At 44.1% G+C, this 8,813-nt stretch overlaps 1 protein-coding gene across 1 annotated transcript in view; it reads left to right on the plus strand.

The window, feature by feature from the left end:
• NSUN4 (NOP2/Sun RNA methyltransferase 4) overlaps positions 1-1,696 on the plus strand; it is a 44,393-nt gene extending 42,697 nt beyond the window's left edge. The window contains exon 6 of the mRNA NM_001387270.1: positions 333-1,696. Within this exon, the coding sequence (NP_001374199.1) occupies positions 333-429 (97 nt within the window). The 3' untranslated portion in view covers positions 430-1,696. The remainder of the gene's footprint in view (positions 1-332) is intronic.

Below are 8,813 nucleotides of genomic sequence, written 5' to 3' on the forward strand. Positions count from 1 at the left end.
GGAGTGCAGTGGTGCAATCTCGGCTCACTGCAAGCTCCGCCTCCCGGGTTCACGCCATTCTCCTGCCTCAGCCTCCCGAGTAGCTGGGACTACAGGCGCCTGCCACCACGCCTGGCTAATTTTTTGTATTTTTAGTAGAGGCGGGGTTTCACTGTGTTAGCCAGGATGGTCTCGATCTCCTGACCTCATGATCCGCCCGCCTCTGCCTCCCAAAGTGCTGGGATTACAGGCGTGAGCCACCGTGCCCGGCCAGGCTGGTGTTATAAATAAAGTTTTGGTGCCACAAAAGAAATAGCACTCAAATATAAAATTTTCTTTTTTTTTCTTCTCAGCAAGGCAATTTACCTCTATAGAAGGGTGTGCCCTCACAGATGGAGCAATGGTGAGTGCACGGCTGGACAAGGGAGGGGAAGGGGTTCTTATTCCTGATGCATGTGGCCTCTGCTGCTGTGTCGTTCACCTATTGGCTAGGGTTAGACTGCACAGGCTAAACTAATTCCGATTGGCTAATTTAACGAGAGTGATGGGGTGAGTGGTTTGGCGGGAAAAATGGTTATGGCAGAGCAGGAGATCGGAATGGGTCAGGGTGGAGAATGAGTCAGGGCAGAGCAGGTAATTGGAATGAGTCAGGGTGGAGTAGGTAATCAAAAAAGGTTGCTTTACAAGGAAGTTAAGTTTAAAAGTAGAAGGCAAAGAATTGAACATACTGACATAGTGATTCTTTGAAGAGAAATTTAGAACTCACATCTAGTAATCCCTCCTCTTGAATTTCCTTGCAGCTCTTTCTCTTCAAACTTCTTTAACATGTCTTGGCTTAGTTGTTCTGCTTGATTTTCCAAAAGAAGAAGCTTCTCTGGATAAGGTGGAGGATAGTTAAGGGAGGTTTTAGTAAGTGCTGTTTTTATGAGCCTCTGCACCAACCCATGGATGGATGTATGACACAGCACCTGATAAGAATAAGTACACCCATTACGGCTGTGAGGGAAGTTAGAATTGAGGCTATTATTCCTTTCCATTTACCAAACCACTTTTTAGCCATGCTGTAAAGGGATCATTTACCCCTGAGTTGTTGGCTAACTATTGGACAGAGCAGTCAGACCTTGCAATGTCTTTGTTACAGATAGACAGACTAAACTTTTCTTAGCTTTAATTTGGTAGGGCTTGATCCAGGAACAATGGCCCATGATTCTGATGATAATGGCACTTGCTTGACTCAGGTGTGATGTGTCCATCCCTTTCCGCTGTATCAAAAGCAGTCTTGGTGGTTAGCAGCACAAAGTAGAGTCCTTCCCAGGCTGGCTTGAGTTTCCCTTCTTTCCACCCTTTGACGAGAACATGATCCCCAGGCTGATGCTGATGTCCTGGCAACTCCAAAGGTGGCCCCTGTGCTAAAAGACCTCTTGTTTTAAGGGAAGAGAAGGTGGAGGATAAACCAAGTGTATAATTCCTAAGAAATTGATCTTTTGGTTAAAATGTGGGGACATCAGCAGTGGACTTCATAGTCCTTGGTGCCTTCTTGCTGAGAAATTTTCTTTAGCACCTATTTTTATTAGTTTTTAGACCAAAGAAAGCCAAATACCATTTTATATTTAACAATGCTTCCTGTATCATTTTTATACCAGATAAACTAAATTTCACCTTTATATTAGTGTGTTATTAATGTTAAATTGAATTTTAATAAAATCTTGTAGACATATTTATCTAATTTTAATGTCTGACCATAAGGTAAGATTTTTATAGATTGTTTTCAATCTTTTATAATTTTTGTTAAAGAGCAGGTTAGTGCTTTAAGAAAAACCTGTTGTGTTTTATTTCAATGTCAAGTTCACAGAAAAACTGGATGATACCCATTTAACTTTAGCCAATGTTTACACACAGAATTTCCTTTATAATTGTTTTCAAAACTTGCTTAAACCTTTAAAACAATTTTTTAACCTTTTAATGTAGATAAAAATCCACATTCTTATGCTTCCTTATAACCTTTTACCAAGGTATAATTTACTTTCCTTACACACCTTGCACATAAACTGTTTCTTCAATAGTTTTACATTCAGGAGGCCTCATTACTTTTAAATTATACAACATTTCTTGCATAAATTCCCTTTTATAACTTTTTTTCCATGACTTTTACAGACAATTCTTCGACATGCCTCAACTTTCTGACTTGTTGCAAACATCCCTTTATTTAAACAGCCAGTTAATTTATTTTAGGACATGAATTTACCATATAACATTCTTTTTACATAAATTCTACCCGCCCCCCCCACATTTTTTTTTTCAGTTGCAAGATTTAATAGAGTGAAAACAGAGCTCCCATACAAAGGGAGGGGACCCAAAGAGGGTAGACATTGCTGACTCGAATGCCTGGGTTTATATCCCAATCATTGTCCCTCCCGCGTGCTCTCAGGCGATAGATTTTTTGCTATTTCTTTACCTCCTGTTTTTGCCTAATTAGCATTTTAGTGAGCTCTCTTTACTACCTGATTGGTCGGGTGTGAGCTAAGTTGCAAACCCCGTGTTTAAAAGTGGATGTGATCACCTTCCCAGCTAGGCTTAGGGATTCTTAGTTGGCCTAGGAAATCCAGCTAGTTCTGTCTCTCAGTAACCCCCTCAACAGGAAAACCCAAGTGCTGTTGGGGAGGTTGGCCGACGACTGCTCTAACTGCTTCCTGCTGAATTGGGGTGAGTAGGGGTCGTGCAGATGAGATTTACTTGGGAGGGGTGCCTTTGATGTCATCAACATTGGAGCGTGGGCTAGCAGGCTGGTCCAGGGGTCCACAGTAGATCTTAGTCATGGGCTGCATCTGGGGCTCCATTTGAAGAACAATTTGTAGTTTTACAGCTTTGATTCTGGAAGAGACAAACTTAACGAGGAGGTTAAAGATACGGGGATTGAAATATATGGCCTGCAGTATAGGGGATTATTTCTTTGGCACACTTTACAGGCCCTGAATATCTGCTTGATAGTTTTAAAAAGGCCTGGTCCAGTAAATAATAATTTGGCCACCTGATGGGTGCTATCAATGCCTAAGTGAAAGGTTTGGCGAAGGGTTTTAAGTAGTTTTCATTGGTTAGCTGCAGGCAAAAGTATTTTTCCTTTGTTGGCTAGCCATCCTGAGGGGGGGAAACTATGTCCTTGTAAGGTTCCCTATTCTATTTCTCCTGTTGAGTACTGGGGCTTGGTTTCCCAGAGGGGATTACCCCATACTAGGGGTCCTTCTATAAGCATTTTTAATGGAGGGTCCTGCCTTGTGGCTCTTTTGGCTTCAATATTCGCTTGGCGGTTCCCTTCTATTTCCCTTTCCTTTCCTTTCTGATGACCCCAGCAGTGTAAGACTGCCACCTCTTTAGGTTTCTGTACAGCCGATAATAATCTCCTGATGGCTTCCTGATGTTTGATAGATGTTCCCTCAGAAGTTAGGTATTCCCTTTCTCTCCATATTGCTGCATGGGCATGGAGGACTAGGTAAGCATACTTAGAGTCTGTATATATGTTTACCCTTTTTTCTTTTTCTAATTTTAGTGCCCGAGTAAGGGCTATTAGTTTTGCCAGCTGAGCGCTAGTTCCTGGAGTGAGGGGATTATTTTCAAGTATTCCATTATCACTGACCACTGCATACCCTGCTTTTCGAAGTCTTTTTTCTACAAAGGAACTTCCATCAATATACAAGTTGAGGTCAGGATCAGTCAAAGGAACCTCTAGAAGGTTTCCTCGAGCGGCATAGGTTTGAGCAATCACCTGTTGACAGTTACGTTCTATCTTTTTTTCAATGTCTGGAAGAAATGTGGCTGGGTTAAGAGTTGCCCAAGTGCACAGTTGCAGCACTGGCCCTTCAAGTAATAGACCCTGGTATTTAAGTAAATGGCTGTCTGACAGCCACAGGTCTCCTTTAGCAGTGAGTATGCTGTTCACATCATGAGATGTCCACACAGTAAGATCTCTTTCCTGTATTATTTTAACTGCTTCAGATACTAAGATTGCTACTGCCACCATTACCCATAAACAATGAGGCCAACCCTTTGCCACTACATCAATTTCCTTACTCAGGTCTGCCACGGGTTGCAAGCTCGTTCCTTGGACCTGTGTAAGGACTCCTAGAGTTATTCCTGTTTTTTTCTGTGACATATAAAGAAAAGTCTTGCCCCGTTGGCAAGCTTAATACTGGGGCTTGGGTTAGGGCCTTCGTTAGGGCCTGGAAAGCCACTTCTGCTTTAGGTGTCCATCTTACTAAATGGGTATTGGCTTTCTGAGTTTCCTTAATTAGCGTATATAATGGCCTGGCTATTTCGCCATACCTGGGAATCCATATTTGGCAGAAGCCTGTTATGCCAAGGAACCCTCTTAGTTGCTTTAGGGTTTTGGGATGAGGATAAGCCAGTATGGGCTGGATACATTCCTTACTGAGGGCCCTGGTGCCTTTGGATAATTTTAGCCCTAAGCATTTAACCTGTTGTGAGCAGAGCTGAGCCTTTTGTTTGGAAACCTTGTAGCCACAGGTGGCGAGGAAATTCAAGAGCGCTTGGGTAGCTTGATGGCACAAGGTTTCTGAATGGGTGGCTAAAAGCAAATCATCCACATACTGAAGGACAAGAGTGTCAAGGTATGAGAACTGGCTCAAGTCTTGGGTTAACGCCTGGCCAAATAGATGGGAGCTATCCCGGAACCCTTGGGGTAAAACAGTCCAGGTGAGTTGAGACGTTGGGTTCGAAGGATCTTCAAAGGCAAACAAGAATTGAGAGTTAGGTTGTACAGAGATGCAGAAAAAGGCATCCTTAAGGTCCAGGACTGTAAACCACTCTGCTTCCTCTGGTATTTGGGAAAGCAGAGTATAAGGGTTAGGTACAGCTGAGTATAGAGGGACAATACCTCATTTATAATCCTGAGATCTTGCACTAGCCTCCACTGCCCGTTGGGTTTCTGTACTCCTAAAATTGGAGTACTACAGGGGCTATTGCATGGTTTTACTAGGCCTTGGGCTTTTAGGTCCTTAACAATCTTTTGGAGTCCTTGTTGGGCCTCAGGTCTAAGGGGATACTGCCTTTGGTAGGGAAAGGAGGCGGAATCCTTTAATTTAACTTGAATGGGACGGGCATTCTTTGCTCATCCATATCGTCCTTCTGTTGCCCAGACTTCAGGATTAATTTCTTCCTTAAGCAGGGGACAACAAACGGGTGTTCCTTTTCCTATGTTCAGGTGTATAATGGCCCCTGCTTTTGCTAGAATATCTCTTCCTAACAAGGATATGGGGCTTTCAGGCATAATTAGAAAAGCATGTGAAAAGAGTAAAGTTCCCCAGTCACAACTTAGTGGCTGGGAGAAGTATCTAGTGACTGGCTGTCCTAGGACCCCTTGGATAGTGATAGATCTGGAGGACAGTTGTCCGGGACAGGAGAGTAAGACTGAGAAGGCCACGCCAGTGTCCAGGAGACAGTTAACCTCCTGGCCCTTAATGGTCAAGCATACCTGGGGCTCTGTGAGGGTGATGGCATGGGTTGGTACTTGCCCCGGGCACCCTCAGTCCTGCTGCTGGATCATCTGGTTAGTGGCTTCTGACTCAGAGGGCCTTCGTCCCCTGGGGCAGTGGGCCTTCCAGTGATTCCCTTGACATAAGGGGCATGGACGAAGGGGTGGCTTATTTCTACTTGGACAATCTTTTTTTTTTTTTTTTTTGAGATGGAGTCTTGCTCTGTCGCCCAGGCTGGATGGAGTGCAGTGGCACAATCTCAGCTCACTGCAAGCCCTGCCTCCCAGGTTCACGCCATTCTCCTGCCTCAGCCTCCCAAGTAGCTGGGACTACAGGTGCCTGCCACCATGCCCAGCTAATTTTTATATTTTTAGTAGAGATGGGGTTTCACTGTGTTAGCTAGGATGGTCTCGATCTCCTGACCTTGTGATCCATCTGCCTTGGCCTCCCAAAGTGCTGGGATTACAGGTGTGAGCCACCTCACCCGGCCTACTTTGACAATCTTTTTAAAAGTGTCCTTGTAGACTGCACTGGAAGCAAGCCCTATTAGGCATTCGATTTGCCCAGTTTTTCCCTTTTCCAGAGCCTCCAAAGTCCACTTGCCTGAGGGCCATGACTAAAGTGGTGGCCTCTTTTTTATCCTGTTTGTCCCATTCCACCTGCTCCTCCTGATCTTTATTATAAAAAACCAAGGTTTCCAAGTTCAATAGGGTTTCTAAGTTTTGCTCCAGGCCTAAGGCGGACTTTTGAAGTTTTTTTCTAATGTCTGCAGCTGACTGAGTGATAAACTTATTCTTCAAGATTAGTTGGCCTTCAATAGAGTTAGGTGACAGAGAGGTATGCTTTCTCAATGCCTCCCTTAGTCTCTCCAGAAAGGCAGTAGGATTTTCTTCCTTTCCCTGTATTATAGTGGACATCATTGAATAATTCATAGGTTTCTTCCTAGTTTTCCTTAGTCCTTCTAGCACGCAAGTTAGCAAATGTCTGCTGCACCAATCTCCATGTTCTGATTCTGTGTCCCAGTGAGGGTCTACACTGGGAACTGCCTGCTGGCCTGTGGGGAATCGTTCTTTCCTCTGTTGTCATCTTGTCATTGACCTGACTGAGATACCAGAGATCACCAAACTCTCGGGCTGCAGTTATGGCAGCACTTCTCTCATTTGGGTTTAGTGTCTGATTTAGCAATAACATTATATCTTTCCATGTCAGATCAAAGGATTGTCCTAACCCTTGGAAAACATCAATATAGCCATCAGGGTTATCTGAGAATTTACCTAGGCCTATTTTAATTTGCTTTAAGTCTGAGAGAGAAAAAGGTACATGCACTCTGGCTGGGCCGAATTCTCCTCCTCCCATTGCTTGGAGAGGGGCATAATTGGGGAATATTAGCACTCTTTGGTTCATTGTTTACCCCTTTGTCTATCTCCTTTTGGACGTTTGGGTTGAAGGGGGGTCCTCATTAGTTGGGGAAGGAGTCGGGGGGACACCAGGGTAGGGAGGTAGACTCTAGGGCTTCCTGTAGGACATAAATCACACTTTTTACATAATTGCGAGTTGTCTCTTAATGAAAAGAAAGTTTGTACATATGGCACTTCATTCCATTTGCCTTCTTCTCTACAAAAGAGGTCTCACTGTAAGATGGTGTTATAATTTATATTTCCCTCAGGAGGCCAGGTTTCTCCCCCTTGAAGAGGATATCATGGCCAGGTGGTACTGCAGAAGAATATAAGTCATTTCTTTCTTAGCGTCTGAGGGTCAAATTGGTCCCAAATCTCCAGAATACATCTTAGGGGCGTTTTTGCCTTGTGGGGAACGTTTCCCATTGCTTTGGAGGTCCCTTCGTGGTCGCCAAATGTTACTGGGGGGTCCTTGCTCCCAGAGCTCCCAAGATGGTGGCGGGCCGCTTCCAAGATGGTGGCAAGCCTGGTGTTCTCTGACCTGGGGTTCTTGGCCTCACGAATTCCAAGGAATGGAATCTTGGGCCATGCGGTGAGTTTTATAGCTCTATTAGAAGCCGTGGGTCATGGAAGAGAACTGTGGAACCCAGTGACTAGTGTTCAGCTTGATTAGGATGAACCTGGGCACTTAGCCGTGCAGGAACAATGGCAAACCTTTAGCCTGATTGGGAGCGGCAATGGGCGCCTCGCTGGATCAGGAGCACAGTAGACACCCTGCCGGATCCAGAGGGATGGAAGTCGGCGGCGGGTCTGCGATGGCAGCAAACAGCAGTGGATGTCGAGCGAAAGCTCAGCTCCAGCCATAGCAAACACGGACCAGAAGAGAGTGCAGTTGCAAGATTTAATAGAGTGAAAACAGAGCTCCCATACAAAGGGAGGGGACCCAAAGAGGGTAGCCATTTTTTCACTTTTTTTTTTTAACTTTTGTTGAAAACATTTTAAGTTTGGAATTTCAACTATTCTTTGCTATTAATAAGACCTCATTCAGTCCATATTAACTTAGAATTGGTATAGATGGGTCCTTCCTGATTCTGTAAGTGCTTTAAGGCTTGGCTGAGTGCAAACAGCTCTCACATTTGAACAGGCCAATTATTAGGCAATTTTCCTAACTCTGCTTCTACAAGAGTTTCCTTATCACTTACTGAATACCCATTGTGTCTTTTTCCCTCAATTACCCAGGAGGAACCATCTATCATCCTGTCCTGAAGGGAGTTCTTCCTAGGTCTGGTCGGACCTTTGTATGGTAATTAATTAAGATTTAGATCCCATGTTAGGAAACCTGCTGGGTTAAGGGAATTTTCAGTGGTTAATATTAAATCATTTTTTTCTAACAGAACAGCCTCATACTTTAAGGTTCTTGAGTCAGTAAGCTACCTTTTTTTTTTTTTGACTTAGGATAGTTCTGACCTGATGAGGTGTGCTCACAATGAGGTTTCCTCTAAAAGTTGTTTTTCTACTTTCTTCTGTTAGCAAAGCAGTTGCTGCTACAGATTGAATGCATTTGGGCCATCTGCCGGTTACTGGGTTAAGGAGTTTTGATTAGGGAGGTTACGGGTTGTCAGTGGCCTCAGTGCTTTTGGGCTACATCCTTGTTTACACTGACAACAAGGTGGTATTGGAGTGTTATAGGGTCATGGAGAAGACCTTCAATTATCAATTACAGGTTTTGAATTTTATCCTGGCTTTTAAAGGAATAGGGTACACTGTTTTCTCTTTACTACTTCTATCTCTCTTTCTCTCTCTCTCTCTTTGACTCTCTCTCTCTTTCCCTGTCTCTGACTCCCTCTCTCTCTCTCTTTTTCTTTTGAGACAGAGTCTAGCTCTATCACCCAGGCTGGAGTGCAGTGGCGCGATCTCGGCTCACTGCAAGCTCCGCCTCCCAGGTTCACGC

The sequence above is a fragment of the Homo sapiens genome, chromosome 1, assembly GCF_000001405.40.
Source record: "Homo sapiens chromosome 1, GRCh38.p14 Primary Assembly".
Lineage (NCBI taxonomy): Eukaryota > Metazoa > Chordata > Mammalia > Primates > Hominidae > Homo > Homo sapiens.